This window comes from Homo sapiens, chromosome 5, assembly GCF_000001405.40.
Source record: "Homo sapiens chromosome 5, GRCh38.p14 Primary Assembly".
Lineage (NCBI taxonomy): Eukaryota > Metazoa > Chordata > Mammalia > Primates > Hominidae > Homo > Homo sapiens.
Genome location: NC_000005.10, coordinates 117,454,861 through 117,480,562, shown reverse-complemented (window position 1 = coordinate 117,480,562; position 25,702 = coordinate 117,454,861). Strand labels below are relative to the sequence as shown.

Genomic DNA, 25,702 nt, shown 5'->3' with positions numbered 1-25,702 from the left:
TTCTGATTATTAGTATTCTTATTATTGTTTTGTTTTGTTTTGAGAAGGAGTCTTGCTGTGTTGCCCAGGCTGGAGTGCAACGGTGCGATCTCAGCTCACTCCAATCTCTGCCTCCTGAGTTCAAGCAATTCTCCTGCCTCAGCCTCCCGAGTAGCTGGGAGGCCTACCACCACGCCCGGCTAATTTTGGTATTTTTAGTAGAGACAAGGTTTCACCATGTTGGTAGGCTGGTCTGGAACTCCTGACCTCAGGTGATCCACCTGCCTTGGCCTCCCAAAGTGCTGGGATTACAGGCATGAGCTACCGCACCCAGCCTATTATTATTATTATTACTATATTAATAGGTTTGAACTGGTATTTCATTGTGGTTTTGATTTGTATTTACCTTATGATTAATGATTTTGAATATGTTTTCATGTGCTTGTTGGCTATTTGTATATTTTCTAGAGAAATATCTATTCAAGTCCTCTGCCAACTTTTTAACTGGGTTGTTTGTCTTTTTGTTGCTGAGTTGTAGGAATTCTTTATATATTATGGATCCTGTTCCCCCACCAAACATATGATTTGCAAATATCTTCTCCCATTCTTCCAGAGAGCCTTTCAATTTCTTGATAATGTCCTTTGATGCACTAAAGTTTTTAATATTTGTGAAGCCCATTTTTTTTTTTACTTTTTCTTTTGTTGCCAAGGTCATTAAAATTTATCCCTATAGTTTATTCTAATGATTTTATGATTTTAGTTTGAATTAAATATAGTAAATTGTTTTTAAATTAAAACATATTATACTCTATTACTAGTAAGCTTTTCACCCAGAACTATCTGTGTCGTAACTCTCAGCTCTCATGATCTGGCACAGGGATCCTGTATGTAGCTGCAGCTTCCATCTTGACCTTTGATTACTTTTTCAGCTCTCTGACAGACTCATACAGACATAGTTGATCAGCTTTTGATGAAACAAGGCTACAACAAAGAATTAGTGCTTCTGATATCAAATGTTAATGATAAGCAGACTTCAATCATAAAGATGCATTTGAGAAAAATTTAAATCTTTGATTTAAAAAACAAAAAAAAGGCTATAATTCCATAGTATTTATAATTCAATATAGAAATTTTCAAAGTCATGCAAAACCTTAATAATTTAGTATTTCCCTTTGTTAACAAAGCCTTTAGTTACCAGTAAATGTATGCTAGAGGTCTATTTAAATAAACATTTATTTAATGAATTTTAAAATATCTTGGTGTTAAAATAATCATCAGTACAAGCATATCTCAGATATATTTAGCTCCAGATCAGCACAATAAAACAAATATTGCAATAAAGTAAGTCACACAAATTTTTTGGTTTCCCCAGTGTATATAAAAGTCATGTTTACACTTTACTGTATTCTGAATGTGCAAAAACTTGTCTAAAACAACAATGTATATAGTTTAATTTAAAAATGCTTTATTGCTAAAAAAATGCTAAAATCATCTGAGCCTTCATTGAGTTGGGATCTTTTTGCTGGTGTACAGTCTCGTCTCAATGTTGATGACTACTGATCAGTATGGTGGTTGCTGAAGGTTGAACTGGCTGTTGCAATTTCTGAAAACAAGACAACAATGAAGTTTGCTATATCAATTGACTTTTCCTTTCACAAAATATTTTTCTGTAAGTTGTAATACTGGTTTATGCCATTTTACCCACACAATTTCATTTTTCAAAATGGGAGTCACTCTTATCAAACTGCCACTGCTTTATCAACTAAGTTTGCATAATATTTTAAATCCTTTGTCTTTATTCCAACAATGTTCACAACATATCCACTGAGTGTATTCCAACTCAAGAAACCACTTTCTTTGCTCATCTCTAAGAAGCAACTCCTCATCATTCAAGTTTTACTCTAAGATTGCAGCTATTCAGCCTCTTCTTTAGGCTCTACTTATAATTATCGTTGTCTTACTATTTCCACCACATACAGTTACTTCCTCCACTGATGTACTGAATTCCACAAATGCATCTATGAGGCTTCGAATCTACTTCTTCCAAATCTCTATTAGTGTTGATATTTTGACCTCCTCTCATGAATCATGAATGTTCTTAGTGGTATGTAGAAGAATGAATCCTTTCGAGAAGGTTTTTTGATTTACTTTGCCTAGATCCATCAACTGTAGTCTTACGAAATATATTTCTTAAATAATAAGACTTGAAAGTGAAATTTATTCCTTGACCCAAGGGCTGCAGAATGAAAGATGCCTTAGCAGGCATGAAAGTAATATTAACTACCTTGTACATCTCCATCAGTCTTGGGTGAGGATGTGCATTGTCAATGGGCAGTAATATTTTAAAAGAAATCTTTCTTTTCCTGAGTAGTAAGTCTCAACAGTGGGCTTAAAATATTTCAGTAAACCATGCTGTAAACAAATATGGTGTGACTCAGGCTTTATTGTTCCACTTATAGAACACAGGCAGAGTAGATTTAGCCTAATTCTTAGCAGCCCTAACATCATCAGAATGGTAAATGACCACTGGCTTCAACTTAAAGTCACCAGCTGCATTTGTTCCTAACAAGAGTCAGTCTGTCCTTTAAAGCTTTGATGCCAGGCATTCACTTCTCTCTCACTATCAAAGTCCTAGGTGGCATCTTCTTCCAATGGAAGAATGTTTCATCTACATTGACAATCTGTTTTTTAGTGTAGCCACCTTCATCAGTTATCTTAGCTAGATCTTCTGGATAACTTGTAGCCACTGTATCAGCAGCTGCTACTTCACTTTGCACTTTTATGTTATGGAGATGGCTTCTTTTCTTAACCCTCATGAAGCAACCTGTGCTAGCTTCAAACTTTTTTCTGCAGCTTCATCACCTCTCTCAGCCTTCACAGAATTCAAGAGAATTAGGATCTTGCTCTGGATTAGGCTTTGGCTTGAAGACATTTTGTGACTGGTTTGATCTTCTATTTGGACTACTCAAATTTTGTCCCATTTCAGCAGTACGGCTGCTTTGCATTCTTATGATTAATGTTTTCACTAGAGTAGCACTTTTAACCTACTTCACAAATTTTTCCTTTGCATCACAACTTGGTTAAATGGCACAAGAAGCCCAGCTTTCAGCCTGTCCTGACTTACGACATGACTTCCCCACTAAGCTTAATCATTTCTAGCTTTTGATTAAAATTAAAGATGTGCAACTCTTTCTTTCAGTTGAAGACTTTGAGGTTGTTGTGGTGTTATTAATTGTCCCAATTTCAATATTGCTATGTTTCAGGAAATAAAGAGCCTCTCCTTCAAGGAGAAGGGGCAAGATGGGAAAATAGCAAGTCAATGGAGCAGTCAGAACACACAAAACGTATTAAGTTTGCCATCTTATGCAGATGCAGTTTATGGCGTACAGAAGCAATTACAACAGTAACGTGAAAGATCATGGATTACAGATCACCATAACAGATATAATAATAATACTAATAATGTTTCAACTATTGCAATAATTAACAAATGTGATGCAGAGACAAAAGAGGGCATATGCTGTTGGAAAATGGCACCAATAGACATGCTGGATACAGATTGCTACAAACCTTCAATTTGTAAAAACATAGACTCTAGAAGGTACAATCAACTGAAGCACAATAAAGTGAGATATGCCTATAAGGCTGTTAGGAATTAAAATATTTCACAAAATCAGGTACAATTGCATTAGAAAAAATATTTTAATTTATCCAACTTAAAGCAAGATATAACATAACTATATTCTAAGTGCTATCAGTTTAATTATCAAAATGAGTAATGTGCATAAAATGAGCTATTGGAGTTTGTCTCATAATATTTCCTTGGTGATTGTATTGAAGGTCTTAAAATTACACAATGACTTTTAATTTTGAATAGCATTTGGCTTATTACTTAGCTCTTTATAAGCATTTGGAGGATAAGACCATCAAGAGCATATGTTTTTATACCCGAATTTCACAGTATAATTCCTTTCACACACTAGGCATTCAAGAAGCATTTGTTGAACAAAATATATTGCCATAGTATAGTTGGCAGTTAATAAATATTTGATGACTGAATTAAAAAGCATATTAAAACAAAGGATACACTGTAGGAAACAAAAGTAACAACCAATTAAATAGCTCAGGAAACAAGGATAAAATGACACTAATTTCATTGAGATTTTAATATATGTTAGTGGTCTGTGCATTAATGTAAAGTTATTTTCTATATATTACGTAGAGAAATGAAGATAATTTTTTCAGAACAATAATAAGGTAACCACAAAAAAAGTGATGCAACTTAGGTAAAACTCATCGAAGACATGTACTAACTTTATTACATGGTATCTTGTATTTACTGTATAGTTTGCTTAAATTCCTAAGATAGAATGGTAATCTGGGTGAGGAAAAAATAAAAGCTTTGTAGAACTGTCATTATAACTTCCACCTCAGAGAATGAACTTTGGAATCATACAGAGTTAGTCCAATGAAAGTGAAACAGGAAAAGTTCAAAGGTCAAAGACTGGAACTGATGGTGAGTCTTAAAAGATACTGCCTCTTTCCTCTACAGGATTATTTTTTGAAAGTGTAGTTTACCTATACTATGAAGATTTATACTTATTTCGTAATTCTCCACAATAGCACTATCTTTTGTCAGATAAACAAGTAAATCTGTGACTGGAATTAGAATAAAAATGAGACAATGGACAAAATATTTTAGTTTAACCAGTTATTTCAACAAAACATCAATCCCTTCAATGTAGTAAATGGTTTCACTTAATTCTATTATTATCTTTTTAATAAAAGGTTAATCTTTTTTTTATTTAACAGATATTATGGGATGTATGTTCTTGAGCTTATATAGAAAACCCTGGGACAAGAAAGTAGTCCACTACTTTGGCATGTAAGGGAAAGAGAAAAAACATCTCTTTGAGTTGATTTTATTTTTCTGTAAGACAGAATCTCTTATCATATTAAGTCTATCAACCTTATCCCTTCTTTAAGAAATACGTATCTTTTAAAAATGACAAAAGCTGTCTCTTCAACACCTTTAAAAGGCTTAACTATGTTTGAAGCAGTGTCCCCAGTTACTATTATGAAAATGGAGAGGAAGTTTCAGATTGTAATGGGAATTTTTATTGAACTACATCCTTCCTGAACTGGTAAAATACATTAAAAAATGAAAATAAGGAATAACACTGCCAGTTATTCAACACTTTAGAGACGTATTTTTTAAATATCCATAAAAGTCTATATGGTTCAGAAACTATTCTCATTTTAACAATATTATGCCTCTGTAGACCTCATAATAGGAATAATTATTTGCAATGAAAGCTCACTTTGTATAGTACGGAACAATTAGATTTTTAAAATATTCTGTCTTAATGTCACTTTTGCCTTGCCCCAGTGAGTGACTGGGATTACATTGTACATACAGTGCATACTTGAATAATGAAATTTCCCATCAGTTTTCTTTAAACTCTTGGCATGAACTGCAAATACAAAATAATTGTGTGCATGGCAAGTGATCTTTAAAATCATTTTCCAAGACTGTTCCGCTTTCAGCAGAACCTTTTCACTTTTGATTAATACTCTTTCCTGCTTTCTGGTTCAGAACATTGCTTCCTAGAGTTACAAATTCAGTTTATGGAGTGCCTTTGACCTGCACTCCACTGGGTAAAAATAAGTGTTAATCCAATGAAATCTGAGTTTCTGTTTCTTCAGCATCTTCAGGTTATCATGCACAATGCAGGGGTGCTGTAAAGTTACATTTGTATGTGCATGCACAAAGTGCCAATAAAGAGAGTTAAAAATAACATTTTATAAATCTTATTGTGTTTCCTCTAATCCAGCCCATAGGATACTTTGGGATAAAATCCACATAATGACGAGAGCTCAAGGGTTCACCCCAAGCTCTTCATAAAATAAAACTAACAGCAAATTCATTCTAATGGCCTGTAGATTTATGTTCATTTATGTAACCCTTTATGGTTATTACTTAGATTTTAATAACATCAAAAACAGTCTTTATCTTTTCTCCTTCACTCTCCTTAATATTTCCTTGCCATATTCTATACTGGTGTTAAAAGAAACAATTAGAACCAAAAGTTTCCAGTTTATGAGTGATAGTCATCCATACTGAGAAACACACCACTTTCATAGTCACAGAACACATGTGACAAAATGAGAAGTTAGAAAATGGAATCAAGTTTTTTATTTCTTCAAACCCACTACTTGTATTCAGTTCTGCAACTCCTTCCTCATACATATGCCATGACTCCCTGCCGCCCATGCACAACCCTGCACACTGTACCCATGCACAACCCTGCACACTGTACAAAATTATTTATCAGAGCTGAGTTAAGAAAAGTACTTGGAAAGACAGGAGTGGATGAGCTGTGGGAAATACTGTAGGAGAGTTTTCAAAACTTAAAATGCATGGTATGAATTTAAATTGTTCAGAAATATAAAATAATGTCATATTTTTCCTATTTCTGATAAGCCATAAATAGAGCAATATTTTTCAATACCTTGAAGGGTCTCAACAACCTTGTTAAAAGTGGAAGAGCTATCAAAAATTAATGGTGACAATAAAACTTATTGATAAGAACAGGGACTTGAGTCCTTGGTTTTTATGTTGATTCCTCAAGTGACTGGCTCCATGTCCTGGGAGAAGTCTCTCAAAAAATTTCCAAGTTATAATTACCCCCCTTAATTCCAATATGCAGAAACTGAAACAGAAAGTTTAAGTCCAAGTTAGCATGAGACGTAGCCAAGAATTGAATTTGGGTATATCTGAATACATAATTCATGCTGTTTTAAATTATTGTGCCATGACTATCTCTCCAATATTTTACAAAATATTCTTCCCACATATAAAGTCCTTAGTTTAGAGTCCCATGCTTGTCAAATTCTCAGTAAATGTTGTCTATTAAGGCTATGTTCAATGAAATTGGTTGGGCAAGGCAGTTTGGTTTCAGATGTGGAACAGCAGGAGATGGGGAGAAGGAAAGGTTGGCATTGGTTAATGTGAACAGACTTCCTTGTGCAAAATTCAAAAGATTAATTAGCCTGATGTAATGATTTTTGAAAACTCTTGGCCAAGCTGTCATAAATATGTCCAAGTATGTAGCTTCTCTGTATGTTTACGTAATTCCACCCGAAAGACAAGCAATTATTATTCATGTACATAGACTGTATTTAGGTGCAAATGAGGTTTCCACGATTTAGCAAGTGTCCAAGGTAATCACTGTTTTGGTGAATACAGGCCTGGGAGGCAGAGTCTTGGCAGCTGCAGCTGAAGTGAAGGAGAGAATTTCAATCTCTCACAGCTGACTTGTCCCAGCAGGGGCTGGGCCCACGACAATAAAAAGAAATGCACAACATACTTTATGGACAAGGATTCAAACCACATTATGTTATTAGAGACTTCATGTAAAAAAGCAGTTTTCTCTTGAGAAGGAGAAGAGCTTCATATGAAGCTGCAACCTATTTATTTCTTCAGCACTCTTGCTTGTTATACAGAATTTTGTTAACATCCCTAACTTCATCTATGGTGTGTCTGCTATGAACTTATAAAATCTTACACTTTCAAACTTTCTTATTTTATTTTGTTTCTGTTTTGCAGTTCTTTAGAATGCATCAATCACTTTAACATTGTTGCTAGAAGAATGACAAATCATGATGAGAATATCGCAATATTTTTAGAAGCACAATTTATAATTTATTTTACAATGAATGATTCTGTGTGATACAACCTAGTTAAATGAACAAGAATAGAGTCATTCAAAAGACCAATAAGTAATTTTACATAACTAAATCACTTAAAGATTATTTATGTTGCCTTGGTTTCCTCCAAGTAGAAAATTACCCAATTCATATTTATTCCCATCACCTCCACTGTTAACATTATGAAAACTCATACATAATTTTTATAACCTGGAAAAGAATATCAAACCTGTAATATTTCTACCTTTTTAAAACTATATTATCAAATAAATGCTGTTGACTAATTTCTTAGCCTTTCTGATTAAAAGGCTTCTTACAAAGTTGAAGATGGTATAAAATCAGTGTAAGATAAAAAGCTTTCACTATCTTCACACAAAGGGCTCAAATAAAATCATAAACTAATCATAAAAGTAATTACATATCAAGATGATTAACTTGTGATATATAGATCTAAAGTTACGGGTGTTTCTAGAAAATTGAATGAGTACGTCAACTAGAGCAGGAAAAAACAATGTACTAGATTGCACCACCTTTATTTATAATAGTTTATGATAAGACTCCTAGAAACCTATGTAAAATGTAAACAAATGTTGACATTTGGAAAATGTTTGTATTTTATTTCAATTGCAGTTTGTCATCTCTAGTTCAATAGATGTGGGAAATCTCTCAAGACATTGTTTTTGAATGCACTAGTATAAAAATTAATTTGTAAGGGAAATACTCGACATAGTGAATAAGGTAGCATTTATGCAAAATTCAAAAAGCTAAATTGTGTCTACTGTAGTCTTTTATAAATATTTATAATACTAATTACAGAAATTTGTCCTAGCTTGCTAGAAAACGGGCTAACCAAATCTCAGAAGAAGAGAAAATTCAGTAGGCAGAATCTTATTGCATCTATAAACTAAGACTCAGATAAAATTCAAATGGCTTACCTTAAGCATCCTTAAATACATTATCCAAGAGTATTAACTGAAAAGAAAAAAAGAATGCATAAAAGTAGATATAAACACTCACTGCAAATATTTTAGAATACTAAGCCAGTCATTTCAATGATCCTTGACCAAGGTACAGCCATTAAATACCATGTTATCTACTTGCTCTAATTTATGTTATATGATATTAGAAGTGGAACCAGAATACTTCTTCCTCCAATTAACCAGTTAATTGTTTAGATTCATGTAACTATTTAAAGAAATTGGTGATTTTTAAAATATGACATATATCCCTTGTGCTTTGAAGAACATCATTAAGTAAAAAGACCACCCATAGAATGGGAGAAGACATTTACAAATCATATATTTGGTAAGGGATTTGTACCTAGAATACATAAAGAATGCTTACAACTAAATTACAAAAAGTCACATCACACAATTTAAAAATGGAAAGGATTTGAATAGTTATTCCTCCAAAGAAAGTTTTATTTTTTACTCTCTAAATATTCTAAGAAAATAATGAATTGTACACTTTAAACAGGTGAGTTTTATGGTACATAAATTAAGCCCCAATATAGCTATGAAAAGTGTGTGATTTTTTTTGGCATGTGTATGATCTTTACTTTAGAGTCTTTGATTATTCATTTTTGTTGTTTAGTGCTTTTGATTTTTTAATATGGTTTTATTTTTGTATGAAAATAAGTCATTTCAAACCTGCTGTTGGATGAAAGTCATTTGCAGTTAGTACAACCTACCAGAATCATATCTACAGAAAAAAACTATAAGGAATAACAGGTTTGTAATTCCATATTGCCCTAGGAAATAACAGCTTTCCAGATTCATGTTAGACTTGTGATTAATCTTTTGTACATGCCACATCTAAAGATCTTTAAATGTGTGTGATTTAGGAAAAATAAATGTTAAACTAAAATTCTAGACTTCAGATATTCAAAAAGAATAGCTATTATAAGCTTGAAATCTTGCTAAGCTTATAGTTTAAAAAGCTAGTGAAAATAAGAAGGGGACTCTTGAATATCTGAACAACCTTTTGATAAAATTCATCTATTGAAGTCACAGAAAGAGAAAAGAAATGGAAACTAATAAATGGGTACAAGTCAAAACACAGAAATATATTTTAGATATTTTTCTTAGGAGAGAAAGAATGGAGTTAAAAAAGGGAAGAATTAGAATTAAAGAAAAAAAGCCATTAGATAATGGATTTTCCTACCTGCCAAATGATAAAAGTAATTTGAGATGATTTTTCCATACTAAATGAGAAACTACTAGAAAAAAATACACTATGTGGCCAGCAGTTGTGATATGTGTATTCTAGTCTGGGATATGTAGTAGAGCACGCAGGTTAAAAACAGCCTTGGAAATTAGGCCATCTATGTTGAATCCTACCTCCCTTACTAACAGTAACTTGGGAAGTTATTTAGCCTCCCTTTTCCTTGGTTTCCACAGGTAACTATCATGGAGTAGTGTCTTTAAGTGTTATTAAGATATGATATGATTAGGCCATTCGATGTGACTCTGTTACTAACTAGCACTATAACAATGAGAAAATAAGCACAGTAATGTATACGATTTCTTCTAGTTCTCAAATTTTATGCCATCATCGATTTTTGAGGGATTTTTTGCTTTTCATTTTGTTTTTAATTTAGCATCTAGGTATAATAGTTTGATCTACAGACTTGCCTGCAAAAGATCACGATTCAGACCTCTGAATTCTGTTCTCACAACTGCAATGATCAGAGGAATCCCTGATAGACGCCCACTGAGAAAAATGTCTGGGAAAAACATCCAGACCTGTCTATGATGACTTTTTTAAGGTGTCAAATTGGCAACATAAAATATGAGGGCAGAAGGAACTACAGCAGCCATTTTGTAGCATACATACATCTTCTTCCAGTCTTTCAATCAAATGCTAACTTAAGTGCTGGCTGTGAAGGTATTTTGCTGATGTAATTAAAATTGTAATTAAATAAAGTACAGGGTCTATCCTCATGAGCCTGACCTAATCAGTGGAAGCCTTTTTAAAAAGACTTAGGCACTGTCCTTAGCCATGCTCTGATATTTTTGGTCTACACTTTGTTTTTCCTTTATAGAACCTTCCCTTCCTCATTACCTGTGACAACAGCTTCATCATGAAGCTTCAGAGTTTCAGTCTGCTTGTGATCTTCACTTCCTGACTTCTTGCCCTGTGGATTCAAATTACTTCCCCACAATCATGTAAACCAATTCCTTGTGATAGCTCAGAAAATAGATAGATAAATAGATAGACTGATTGATGGATTAATAAGTATATTTGTATCTTTATTAGTATATCAATATATCTATATTGACTGCTTTTTCCCTCAACAAAACATTTCTAAGAGGTCTGGGAAATGATTCTTTTCCTCTTTTCCATCCAGTTGCCTAATTAAACTGTTGATGGCACACATTTTCTTCCTAGCAGTACAAATACCCAGGCTTAGCTTGTTGTAGCAGCCCAGCTAATGCAATTCTAATGGAGAAAATAAGTACAAAAAGATGGCCTAAAAAAAGAACATACACTAACACACACAATCCAACAGACACAAATCCAAATTTCCTTATTAACCTAAATTTTCACTCTTAGATACATATCCTTGGCCTTTACTCATAATATCACTGTACTTGGGGGCAAGTATGGGCAGTGGAAAGATGAGGCCTTATATTTTCCATATAATTTGGAGCATGCTATTAACACTAAAGAAGGATCTACTGCTTAGAATACCCATGTTGTATCAGGAATAGAGAAGGACTAGAAATAATACAAGTAACATCTCCTTGGAATGACTAAAATTTCTAAAAATTTCAATATTATTTCAACTTCTCTTCAGCATTTATTTGCATTTAAGTTTTCTAGTCTACTACTAGTATGGATAAATAGTGTAAAAGGAAAAGGTTAAAACCAAAAGGGTTACATATCTTTATATAAAGGAGAATTTCTAATGGTTACAATCCCTGTACTAAATGGGGGCCCTATTAGCTTCCATGTGTATAGTTACTATCTTTTCTTGGCCATAGGTTACCTGCGAGCCATAGCTACATAATGGAGATGACTGGTCACCAGGGGCAACTAAAAAGAAAATGGGATTGATAGGTTTAGAACCACAATAGTGCAACATCATTTCTAAAATAATGACCCATTCAGGGTCAGTTTATCATCTTTCTCCATTATATGTATTATACCAAATTTCTATGGATTTGTAAATTCAGGTTGATTATAGCAGTTAAACTCAATGCAGCCAGGCTCTATTTTGGGTTGCTGGAGTTCAGTCATAGTGATCCATTTAAAGTACTCTGATGTATAATTAAGTGGCTAAATTTACATACTTAAATTGTAATAAAAGTAGCCATAGGATATTCTCTCTTGCACATTTAATTCATTATATTAACCATATTTGGAGCACATAGAAGAGTTTTCAGTAGGGAATGTTCTGAAAAATATGTGACTGTAAAGCTCTACTAAATTGCCTATTAAAAAAATGTTCTTTTTTGTAATCAATCAAAACAAAATGTACTGAATCCTCACCTAGAAAAGCATTATGCAATCTACAACTTATAGGAGTAGGATAATGTTCAGAGAAGAGCTACAAAGATGATTAACATGTTGGACTACAAGAGCAATTTTAGAGGCTAAAGGGACAGAGATTGTTTAGCCTGGAGGAGGATGGCTTATTGATGGTCTTCAAATATATGAGTGGTTTCTCTGCAGAGGATGGTAACCTGCTGTTTTCCATCTTTTCTGAAGACAAGACAAAAGGAAATAGACCTACTTTTAGTAACTTAGATTAAAAACAAATAAAACTGTCTTGGTAGTGAACATTGTTAATCACTGAAATGATTCAGGCTATAGGCTCTTCTTCTCTAAAGACTCATAAAAAATAAATGGTTTGGGTCAAACTAGAGACAAGGTAATGAAAGGTGATCTCTTATGGCTCCTTTTACGGTTCATTAATAGAAAACAACCACTTAAACAAATTTTGAAGATATCTATATATTTCTTCAAAATAACTTTTGCAAACTGAACCTCATGACAACAATTAACTGACGAGTATTTCAAGGCTACAAAGGGATATTTTTTGTTCAACTCATTTAATGAATGAAGCTCAAATTTATGAACTCGTGATTTGCTATAGATAAAATTTTGGGAAGCTCTTTAAAAGTACTCCAAATTAAAAGGTGTATATAATATAGATACATATATACATATGTGTGTAGATACATACATACATAGGTGTATATAATATAGATACATATATACATATATACAAAGGTGTATATAATATAGATACATATATACATACGTATATATGTATACATATGTGTATACATATATACATATAGATATACATATGTATCTATATTATGTACACACATACATATAAAACATATAAGTATATGTATGTATATATGTATATATGTGTGTGTATATATATTTGTGTATATATATATGAAAAAGTAAGTGTCTAAGGTAACCTTACACTGTAAGTATCAATGTAAGAACACTGGACACTTACATTATGGAAAGCATTCACAATTTCTATATTTTAAAAATCATTTTCAAAATTTGAACTTGTCAGATTGTTGCAAATAGAATAAATACCATTAGAAAATCAATCCAGTAATAGCAAGGTTTAAAAGAAAGATATAACTCTTGTACTTCAGAATTCAAAATCCAAGAGCATATTAGATTAGCAAATACTTAACTGTATGCTGAAGCAAAAAAAAAAAAAAATTAATGCCCGAAAGATACAACTAGTTGTAGGTGCATAGAAGATAGAGTTACAGACTCTGCTTGAAAAAAATAGTATTTGAACTTGGTAAAATTCAACATCCCTTCATGATAAAAACTCTCAACAAATTGGGTACAGAAGGAACATATCTCAACATGATAAAGGCCATATATGACAGATCCACAGCTAGTATCATACTGAATGGGGAAGAAAGTGAAATATTTTTCTCTACAATCTGAAACATAAGAAGGATGCCCCTTTCACCATTGTTATTCAACATAGTACTGGAAGTCTTAGCTAGAGCAATTAGATAAGAGAAAGAAAGAAAGGAAATCCAAATTGGAAAGGAAGAAGTCAAGCTATCTTTATTTGCAGATTATATAATCTTTTATTGAGAAAAACCTAAAGACTCCACACAAAAAAATTAGAACTGATAAATAAATTTAGTAAAGTTGTAGGTTACAAAATCAACATGCAAAACTCAGTAGTATTTCTATGTCAACAGCAAACAATCTGAAAAAGAAACCAAGAAAGGAATCCCATTTACAGTGGCTAAAATAAAATAAAATACCTAGAATTAAACAGCCAATAAAGTGAAAGATTAAACATTAATGAAATACATGAGAGAGAACACAAAATCAGAAAGATATCTGTATCTTGTGTTCATGGATTGAAAGAGTCATCATTGTTAAAATGTTCATACTACTCAATGTTATCAACAGATTCAATGCAATCTCTGTCAAAATATCAATGACATTCTTCACAGAAATAGAAAAAGCAACACTAAAATTTATGTGAAACCATAAAAGACCCAGAAGAGTCAAATAAATCCTGAGCAAAAAAAAAAAACTAAAGCTGGAAGTATCACATTACCTGACTTCAAATTATACTACAAAGCTATAGTAACCAAAGCAACATGTTAATAGCATTAAAACACACACATACACACACAGACACACAGAACCTAGACATGAATTCACACATTTACAGTCAACTGATATCTCACAAAGGTGCCAATAACATACACTGGGGAAAAGATAGTCTCTTCAACAAATGGTGCTGGGAAAACTGGTTATCCATATGCCAAAGAATGAAATTAGGTCTCTATCTCTCACCATGTAGAAAAACTAAGTCAAAATAGATTAAATACATACATTTAAGACCTGAATCTATGAAACTACTGGAATACAACATTGAGAAAATACTTCAAGACATTGCTCTGGGAGAAAATTTCTTGAGTAAGACCTGAAGAGCAGAGATAACTGAAGGAAAAATGGACAAATGGGGTCACATCAAGTTTAAAAGCTTCTGCACAGCAAAGGAAACAATCAACAAAGGGAAGAGACTAAACTACAGAATGGGAGAAAATATTTTCAAACAATTTAAGTGACAAAAGGTTAATAATCAGAACAAATAAATAACTCAAATAACTTAATAGCAAAATAATTATAATAATCATCTGATTTTAAAATGGGCCAAAATCTGAATAGACATTTCTTAAAAGAAGACATACAAATGGCCAATAGTTATATGAAAAATGCTCAACATCACTAATCATTACAGAAATGCAAACAAAGTGAGATATCATACTACCCATTAAAATGACTTCTACCAAAAAGATAAATAATAATGAATGCTGGGGAGAAAGTGGAGAAAGAGGAACATTTGGACACTGTTGGTGGGATTGTAAATTAGTATAGGTACTATGGAAAACAGTATGGAGATTTCTCAAAAAACTAAAAACAGAACTGCTGTTCAATCAAGCAATCTCATTGCTGAGTATATATCCAAAAGAAAGGAAATTGGTATATCAAAGAGATATTTGCACTCCCATGTTTACTGCTGCACTATTCACAATAGCTAAGATATGGAATCAACCAAACTTCCATGAACCCAGCTGAACAGATAAATTGTGGCATATATACACAATGGGACGTTATTCGGCCATAAAAAAAAAATAGAACTCTGTCTTCTACAGCAATACGGATGGAACTAGAGGACATTAGGTTAAGTGAAATAAATCAGGCACATTAAGACAAATATTGCATATTCTTGCTCATACGCAGGAGCTCAAAATATTGATCTCATGAAGGTAGAGAATAGAATGATGGTTATCAGAGGGTGGGAAGGGTACTGGGGGAGAAGGGGATAAATAGAAGTTGGTTAATGGACATGCACAGTTAGAAGGAATATGAACTAATATTCTATAGCAGAATAGGACAACTATAGTTAGCAATAGTGTATTGTATATTTCAAAATAACTACAGTGGATTTGGAATGTTACCAACACCAGAAAAAACGTAAATGTTTGAGGTGATGAATATCCCAATTACCCTGATTTGATCATCATGCATTATATGATTATCAAAATATCACATGTATTCCATAAGAATGTACAACTGTTATATATGCCTAAAAATTTAATATACATATGTAAATAAAAGGTATATCTAAGCATGCTTCTTATGAAAAAAATAATGATCAAGAGTTTTTTAAACATAAAAGGGCAATGGTAGACTAGGCAGAGAAAACCACAAGTGCATGGAGGAACTGGAGAGTATGCATGCCAAAATACATGAACATTTCAGTGTACCTAACGTGATCAAACAGGAGCAGTAGAATATCTGTTAGAGCCAGATTGTAAAGATGTTAGTTAAGGTATCTGGACTCCAAGCTGTTCAGTGAAAATGCATGTGCAAAATAGTGTCCTTGGCCTCAGTCCAAAAGTTCTGATTTATAAGGTTATTTTGCTACAACCTTTCTAAGGATCAGTTTGAGAACCAGAGTACAATGCAAGGACACTAATGAAGTACACTGTGTGTCTTTGTGTCCTGAGCAACTGAATGAACCCACACAAAATTTTTGTGAGAAAGGCCAATTGCAGCACTTCTGTTTATTCATAAATGGCTTTGCAAAGTGTTCAAGAAGATAATAATGGCAACTGTCCAGGTATATTGGAGAAGAAAACAGTCAAATCTACAAAAATCTCCCAAGTCTACATTCATTGCACAGTGCTTTGGAAATGGCTAGGTATTTTTTTCAATCCCTAAGAAACAGAAGATATATTTGGGCAGATAAGTAAGGTTGATTAATTTACATGCACAGCTGCCTTCCAGGCGACTGTCATCCACTTGACAGGATGGAGCAGCCTGAAATTCCAAACATGAATATTTCATAACAAAACCGTGAGTCTTACCAATAAAAGGGATAGGGAGTTGGCAAGGAGGGCAGTGAGACATGTTTATCGTCATGTTGCCACTGGATAAATATCCCTAAGCCTAAAGCTAGCTTTAAATGACAAAACGCTTCAGAAGAAATACATAAGATACAAGGCTTTCAACATGTCAAACATATTTAAGTCCTTAATTTTCAAATAATCACCATTTTCTTTAACTTTTAAAAAGTAATGTGGAAAACTATTAGAGATTATGTGAATGATCTTCTATTGCTAATGTGATAAAATAAAGGCTGCAAATTCGAGGAGTAAATTCAATTTTATGGATTTGGGAAACAATGACCTTCAGGATTAGAGATCACTAACCTGCTTTATTTGTGTGGAGAACATGTACTAATAAAAGACTAGGAATAGATAATTATAGGGATATGCTTGAGGGTAGAAATAAAAAGTATTTTGCCTCTAGGATAAACTTTCAGTTATCTGCCTTATGTAGTAAATGTGATGATTCTTTTTGGAACCATACCTAATTGATATAAATAGTATCACAAAAATAAAAATCTTTTTGAATCTTCTGCTGGTATCGAGGAATAAAAAGCAAAACTCTTACAAATCAGCAAATTTACACAGGGAGTAGACTATTTCAGGCATGTCCTTTGTATCTGAGAGTCAGGATTCCTGAACTGAATTGAAGAATAAAGTACTTTCAGAATTTTTACCTTTTCATTGCAGTTTTATTTGTTTTTCAAAGAATTATAAATTCCTAGAGTATCTTGAATTCATACGTTTGTGTAAATAAAAAGTCATCAATTATCTAATTTCAGTATTATGTACTAAAATATTATCCAGTATTCTAGCATTTATTTTGAGAAAAATATGAAAACAATAGAAAAGGGAAAATTCTCAGGTATTATAGAAGAGAAAATATATTATTGTAATGATAATATTTTTACATATAAACATATAAAAACACATTTTATTTTCAGTGTGATTATTGGCACAATAAATCCAGACCATTCATATAAAATGCATGCACATATATACACACATATACACTCATTTTCTAACTTTCTTCTGATTTCAAAGCATGGGATACTCACCTATTATTCTAGCTGCAAAGTGTACTTTCTTCAAATTATCATTTTGATTCAATAAAGGTATTTGTTGTTCTGAATTTTGAGTAATTATCTTAATTCATTGATTTTCTAGATTTTGTGTAAAATAAATGTAGATGTAGTACATATTCCTTCATCAGCGAGAGAAGAGACCAGTTTACTTTCAATAGTATCATATAAAATGAAACATCTTTCCTTTTTGGATCATTTTTTGATCATTCATCATTTTTGATGATTTGATCATTGAACACAACCTACTTCTTATGAGCACAATATAATTTAAAATGTTAATGCCTAAATTTTAGAGACACAAGGCACAGCAGAAAATCAAATTTTGCCTATGTGAATATAAAGATCCTTTATTTCTTTATCTGGGCTTCAGTACCCCTGTGACCTAAATTTATTTATTTCCAAAAACATTAACTGCTTTTTACACAGTTTGAGCCATTAGGAAATTGTTATTATTATAGTGAAGAGCAGAGGGTATTTACCTTTGTAAAATATCAATAATATTTTTTAAAGAATATGTAATTTGAAAAATATTACTCATTGTTAGAATTATGGGATGAGAGTAATTTCCCGACAAATAAACTCCTTAAAGACTAGTCCTGTAGCATTCAACTTTGCTTATTTTCTACTAAGTGTTTTCTAATGAATAATCAAGAAACAGCTGGCTTGAATTTACTGAATTTAGGATTTCTGGACTCGTGACAGGAAGGATCCCTTGACATTCAGGTCTACACAGACTCTAAGTAGCAGGGTAGACATAGTTCCCTAAGCATGTTCTTTCACATAATTGAATTATTCTGAACAAAGTTCTACATTAGTCATATCTGGTGCTGCTCATTCCCATAATCTATTTCTATGTCCATCACCTCAAAGTGCAAATCTACAATCTAATTATTGGCAACTAATAACAGGATTTCTTTATACTAGAAGCTTTACTTTTCTAGTCTGAAATAAAGACGGTATTGTCTACTATTCCTGTTACTGAGGATATTTCTCTAAGTGGAATCTTGTTTCACAACTAACTCCATGAGGTTCTTATTTTATAAAAGCAGAAAACAAATGAATTGGCTTTGCTTTTTGTTGGAGTAAATGGATTACAAAACAAAAAATTATCAAAAATAGAGCAATATAAATTTTACTTGGCTATAATGAAAGTTCTCAATATGTTGACCAGTTACATGCCCCTGCTCAGTTCCATTATTGTCCCCTCTATCCTGCTGAACACCATCAAGCTTCCAGTCAGAGGGAGAGACAACCAATACTACAAGGCTCCTACCTGACCACAGATCAGCCCAGTTCCTCTTTGTGCTTGAACCACAGCTATTTTTAAATTGGTTAGTGTGCACCTGGAAAATCAAAAGTGGTCTCTACGTTCATTTTATTGCAATGGAAAGGGAGTGTTAGTCAGATGTAGTCTTCAATTAACTGGGCAAATTGTGATCTAAAAGTTTCCCCTTCATTTTTATCATTAATCCTCTCAATATGTACAGGAATATATGCTATGCAAAATAGGCAGTGTCAAGACTGAGCACATCCCTAATAGTTTTCGTGCAGAGATATCAATTGAGAAACAGAAACCTGACTTACATTTTCCCAAGAAATAGGTAAATATTACATGTAATGATTTAGCATCCATGGCGCAGGTTGCATGGGATTCTCATTAGATAATATTTTCAGCATATGAATATCTTTACACTTGTTGGTGAAGATATTAGAGAGAGATTTTATATAGAATTACATTGTCTTGGAAGTAAGAGTTTCTCCACCATTTTGAACTTTTCAATTTTGTGTCTCTTACCTTCTTAATAGTATTCTGATTGGATAATTCACTTCCAATATCAATGACCTTTGAAGAATAAATTTTTCCTACATCACTTCTCCCAGCTGGCCACTGTGGAAACCCCCAAAACTTTTTTGACTACTTTTTGTGACAATGCCTATTATAGGGTTATAATTACATATGTCTTATTAAAAAAAATGTAAGTAGAGACTTCTGGTATGAACATGGTTGTCTATATCAACTTCTCCTGCCAACCTGTTCTTCCTGGAAATTATATAAAAGCAATAAATATCTTTTCCATGCACCCCATTTAAAATGAAATTAGGAGAAATTTATAGAAGCTGCATAAGAAGAAGAAGAAGAAAAAAAAAAAGAGAGTGAAGCAAGACCCAGCAGTGGCAGCACTTTAAAGGCACCAGAAAAATATACTTCCTAAAGATGAGGAGTCATTCATTCAGTAATGCAAAAACTATGACTTGTATCACAGTGGCAGCAGAAGCTTCCTAGACAAGGTTTAGAAAGAAAGTAGAAATTCAATTACCTAACAAAACCATTGCATGGCCAAAAGGTAAGAAAACACAAGCAAAGTCAAACATATAAACATAAGTCTATTTGCAATATATAACTCATCTATATACTTGCTATATCTCAAGTATCTGGAACACTACCTGCCACATAATAAATATTTATTGAATGAATACATGAATCAAATTGAAAAATTTGGCAAAGAACGTAGTTTGTAAAAAAAAAAGTAAAAATGGCTTTTACACATATTTAAAGATGTTCTCTCATCAGTCATAAGATAAATTATTCCATTTTTATCTATTAGATTGGCAAAAACTCAAGTGCTAAAACTTCCCATTGGCAAAGTTCTGAGGAAACAGTTATTATCATATATCGCTGATGGGCATGTAATTTGTATAAGATTTATGAAAAGCAAGTTGGCAACATCTATGAAAAGTACAAAGGCATATACCTCTTGGCACAGAAATTCCAACTTGGGTAATATCCTAGAGACATATGTATGTGCATAATGAGGTATGTACAAGGTTATTCATAGCAGCATTATTATTAAATGTAAAATAATGGAATAATCATATATGCATTGATGGGGACAAGAATTGGCTATGTTAATTATAATATATCTACTCAATGAAAATGTGACATAGCTATAGAAATAATGAGAATTCTCCTAAGATATCCAGGATGTATGATTGATGAAAGAAAAATCTAAGTTAACACAGCTTTTACGTTAAGAAACCTCAGTGCTTACAAAGAAGGTAGAAAATAAAAATATTTATTTTTAGTCATTTTTATATAGACAAACTTTGGAAGTGCTGTAAGAAGCTGAAAACAGTTGTTCCCCTGTTTGAGTGATGAAACTAAAGAGACAAGAAAGAGGGAGGGGAGAAAGATATGAATATACTGCTTTTTATAGCTTCAATTTCTTGAACCATGCAAATAAATTTCTGATTCAAAAAATTAAAATTTAATTAAGAAAGAAATTGTGGAGAAAAACAAGAAAATAAAAAAAGTTTACCAGTGTCTGGATTCATCACAAAATAACACTCTCAGATTTATAGCAGAAAAAAAAAAAAACCTCATTCATTAATTCATCAAACAGATGTTGATTGAATTACTTCCATGATTTAAGATGCTAGAGATGCCAGATAATGATTCTCCTGAAGCTTCTATTATTTCCGTGAAATAGAAAATAAACAACTGACAAGTTAAAGAAAGAAAAACAATAAGTGTTATTACTAAAACAAAATAGGATGATACTATATAGATAGTGTCTTGGGAGCTTTTTTTTTTTTTTTTTTTTTGCTGAGTGCTCTGAGAAAGTCTCTTTCAAAATTAAAATTGACGGAGGTGATATTTGAACTGTGATTTGAGTGACAAAAAGGAGGCAGTCGTACACATATCAAAAAGACAAGCATTTTATGCAGAGTCCAGCAAGAGTAAAGGCTTGGGGTAAGAACAAATTTTTCATGCTTTATGGACAGAACAAAGTGCCATGTGAGTACAGAGAAATGAACAAGAACTAAAATTGCATGAATTAAGAGGTAAGTGTAGCTTCATAATGTGTAGCTATCTAGACCTTGGATGGCCAGGGCAAGAGATTTGGATTGCTTTCTACATGGGGTGAGAAGACATTGGAAAGTTTTACACAGAAGGATCATGTGATTTGATCTATGGAAGTAAAAGGGTTGACTCCGCTATCTGCTTGCATATTTTAGGGGACAAGAGTTGAAGCAGGGTGGCCAGATTGTCATTCTTTTGGTATCCTAGGTAGACAATGATGGTGTTTCAGCTAGTATGGAGTTGGGGAAAAATGGAAGTAATATGAAAGTCTTTATTGACGATTAGAGGTGAAGTTGAGGGAAAGAATGAAATCAAACCAATGCTAGATTTTGACTTACAAAAATAGGTATAGACCTATTTTCTAAGATGAGATAGAGTGGGGAGAAACAGGTTTAGAGAACGGAATCAAAAATTCTACTTTAGATATCTTAAGTTTGAGATAAACGTATAAGTAGAGACGAAGAGTAGCTGGTTGGACATGTGTGTGAAACTCAGGGGAGAAGTAGAGTCAGGGCATAAAAATATAAAAATCATCTGCATATAAATGATACTTAAAGCCAAAGGGGTGAGATGCAAGTGAAATCACCTATAAATGACAACAGATATAGAAGAGATGATAAATACAGAACTCATCCAAGGGCATGCCAATCTCTAGCAGTGAGGAAGAGCAGAGATTAAAAAATAGAAAGAAATTATTGACAGGATAACATGAACATATATAAAATAATAAAAATTTCATACAAACGAAAGCGCCTAAGAAAAAAATAATGTTAGGAAAACATTTGCATCAGACAGGATTTCCAAAGTGTTTATATTGTGATTATTACAGTATTTTTAGAGTCTTCCTTTTCATATTAAATAAGGCAAAGGATATGAACAAACAGTTTATATAAGCAGTGATTATAAAAACATGGCAAACGTGCATTCTGTCCATTATTGAAGAAATAAAAAAATAAATTTTTTTTTTCAGGACACACTGTATTCTTCTTCTATGGATAAAACAATTGCTTAAATAAAAACATTCAAAGTTTGTGAGACTGTAGTGAAACTAATACAGTTGAACACCGCTGTCTGCTTTATAAGAAACAATATGTAGTAAGAGATAAAATGTTTATCCAATTTGAGTCAGTAATTCCACCTTTGGGAATATATTTCCTAAAGTCATAATTCCACAGAAGAGGACTACTTATATGCAGAACTAGATTTTTATTGCAATAAATTTTATCTTTAAGAAACTGAAGAAAATCAATACAACCACAAATATAGAAGTGATCAAATCAAGCATAATCTACTTAGGCTAGATGAATATTTTAAAACTACTAAAAATTGCCATTAAAAGTCATATATCAAAACTCATGAAAATGCGTATAACATAAATGGATTATTTTTAAAGAAGATTAAATGACATTTGTGTTGTTTAGTCTGTCCCATTCTTACGACCAATTGACAACATTTTCTCTTTTTTTTACTTTCACATTTCTAAAATGTAAAATCCCAATGGACTTGCTTTCTACTCCATCCCCCAGTATAATTTTATCCAATTGCTTATTTTGTTGGCATGAACTTTAGGGATGTAACTGTGAGTTAGCAATGACATAACTACTGATGGATCTTTTGGGATAGGCCTTATTCAGAAATCAAGATGTGGAGACCTCATGAGGATCCAATAAGTCAGAGGTGGAGGGGGTCAGCCACAGATAAGCTGTAGAGTGGAGCTGAAACTGACAACAGGGACATGTTTATTTATAACAGAAGCACGTGGAAGTATGAAAACAAGATAGGTTTACGTTTTAGTCCAGAATCCTAAAATATGAATAGTCTGAAAATGGAAGAAAAAGATTTTAATGCATGCCCCGATGCATAATAATGGGCTAAATATAGAATTCTTAGAGAAGATGCATTGATCTGAATAGTGTTTGGTTGGTGGTTTCAACAGAAAGAACTAAAACATCTGTTTTTCCACTTAAAGCGTTTTTGGACATTCAAAGAAAGTCACTTAAAACTGTAACACTAGCCTCCTGGAAATCAAAACTTATGTTGAAGAAAATCATTTTAATGAAAAATGTAAGACAATGTTGTGAGCAGGTTAAGGGAACATTTCACTTCAGGGGCTTTTTCAAAACATCCCCTAAATTACAGAACAAAAGATAGCCTTGTCTCAGAAGTCTGTTTCTCCTGGGCTGGCGATGCACCTCTAAGAGTAATTTAGGCACCTAAGGAAGGACTTTTCAGACAAGAGAGGAATAAATGACCATTCGCATCTTACAGAAGGATCACCAAGAGCATTAGCATGTCCCTGTAAGTGCACCTCTGTTTTCTGGGGCATTGATCACATCGAAACTTGATTTCTCTTAAGATCCACTGAATCCCAAAAAGAAATTGAGGTGTATACTTTTCATTATCCCATTTGCAAAGTGAATGATTTTTTTTTTTAATCCAAAAAAGCAGCATCAAAATCAGGCCACTAAGAAGAAAGGTAAATCTGGTGCTGAAGGAATATGCTCCTTATTCCTCAATGGCGTACGGAAGTTTATGATTCTGTTGAAAAAGTCATAACTCCGCTTCATTCTCTTGAGATGCAGAGTAAAGGGAGAAAATAGTGTTATTAATTTTATCAAAATTCTGCCCTCTCAGGATGGCTGAGTTGAGATGTCAGATGCCAGTTCTCCTCAGAAAGAACCAAAGTTACAGATGAATAATCGTAAGTTGAATAGAAGATTAAGGAGAGAGTGCCAGAACCTATTGGAGAACTCACAGAAAGAAGCTAGGGCACAGAAAAAAGAAGGAAGAGTGTGGCAGAGATTGAACCCCAAGGAACTTGGAGTCTGGTGGAAAGGGTAGGTGCGGTGTTTTGCGTTCCACTCACAGCTGTGGCAGACTGGGTTTCCGAGCTGTAGGAGAGCTCCTTTGCTGGCCCTAGCCCAAGGACCGGTGTGGGTGGTGATTTGTTAATTTACTGAGGGCATTGCACCAGGCTACCAGCTTGTGTAAAGTTGCTCACCCTCTCCCCAGACCTGAGCTGCAGTGGTAAGCGCCATATTGAGTGTGCATCATTGTGGTCCTCTGTCCTGCCCAGAAAATCTCAGCCTTCGTGTCTCCACATCACCAGATCCCCCGCAGACATTCCCTAGCACCTGCTTAGATTGCAGCAGCCACACATGGGGCCAGATGTACCTAAGGTAGCTGCAGAATTCCCGGTGGTCTGAACCTCAGGGTATGCTGCCCCTAGGGGAAGGGAGAGTGCAGCGCGCCTAGGGAGTGCCCCATGGGACAAACGAAGCCAGAGCGTATGCTCTCCCGTGCCCAAGAGTTTCCTGCTTGGGGACTGAGGGTGACAGCACCCCTTCCAGCAGAGAAATGGGCACCATGCTCAGTGCTCTGGGGGGAAGTGTTTTTTAGCCCCAGTGGTCAGGCAGCCCCAGTGCTCAGGCACAGTAGTAGAGAGGAGGATTTCTCCTTCCCGACTGCCCACTGCTGCAGACAAAGCCGTGGATGCCTGTGGACAGCCAATACAGGACTATCAGGAGCAGCTACAATGATATTGGTGGTGTGCCTACCTGCCGAGTCCGACCTTCTTGCACCATAGGCAGAACCCCTTCCTCTCTCCACACTGAGTGGCAGCGTCCTCGCAGTGGAGAACAGATGACCAGCAAAGCTGTCTGTTTTCGGCTGAGGGAAGAGACTCCTCCCTGAAACCATGGTACAGGTGTTTTCTGTGGCTCTCAGCTTCATTGCAGCTTGAAGATAGACGGCAGTGTCTGTTTGAACTGAGACACATGAGACCCGGGACAGGAGTATGATAGGGAAACGTTCCTGCCTATCCAGGATGTGAAGCTGGCGCAACCGCCTACCACCTCTGGAGAGACCTCGGCACATTTCACCAGTTTTCCCTGCTACCCTCATCAGCACTGGTGCTGCTGCTTGTCACTGGAGTACCTGAGGCTGAGACTGGCTGTCCAGCTCCGCCCAGCTTTGACCCCTGCTCCAGGGCTGAGCAGGTAACTCACGGCACCGGACATTCCACCGACCAGTCCATCCCTTCAGGTAACAGCGAGCTCCTCCTAGAAAATAAAGATTAAGCCTATACTTACCTGTTTCTGCCACAGCCAGTTCTTACTTACTAGTGCCACCTACTGGCCGGGAGGTTGAAC

At 34.0% G+C, this 25,702-nt stretch overlaps 1 protein-coding gene and 1 long non-coding RNA gene across 2 annotated transcripts in view; both read right to left on the bottom strand.

The window, feature by feature from the left end:
* LINC00992 (long intergenic non-protein coding RNA 992) overlaps nt 1-25,702 on the bottom strand; it is a 164,233-nt gene that overhangs the window by 99,182 nt on the left and 39,349 nt on the right. Inside the window, exon 3 of the long non-coding RNA NR_046089.1 lies at nt 8,625-8,661. This is a non-coding gene — a long non-coding RNA (long intergenic non-protein coding RNA 992). The remainder of the gene's footprint in view (nt 1-8,624; nt 8,662-25,702) is intronic.
* On the bottom strand, nt 1,195-25,614 carry LOC124900192 (uncharacterized). The gene is made up of 2 exons (XM_047417986.1): nt 25,109-25,614; nt 1,195-1,582 (listed from the first exon to the last, which is right to left on the bottom strand). The coding sequence occupies exons 1-2, from the start codon at nt 25,452-25,454 to the stop codon at nt 1,533-1,535; spliced, it is 396 nt and encodes a 131-aa protein (XP_047273942.1). The 5' UTR covers nt 25,455-25,614; the 3' UTR covers nt 1,195-1,532.

Coding starts and splice junctions, on each gene's coding strand:
- LOC124900192 (XM_047417986.1), bottom strand. CDS start 25,454: ATGAGGGTAGCAGGGAAAACTGGTGAAATGTGCCGAGGTCTCTCCAGA. Junction 1,583..25,108: donor AAGAAGGTCGGACTCGGCAG/GTAGGCACACCA, acceptor TCTTGTTTTCAG/AAATTGCAACAGCCAGTTCA.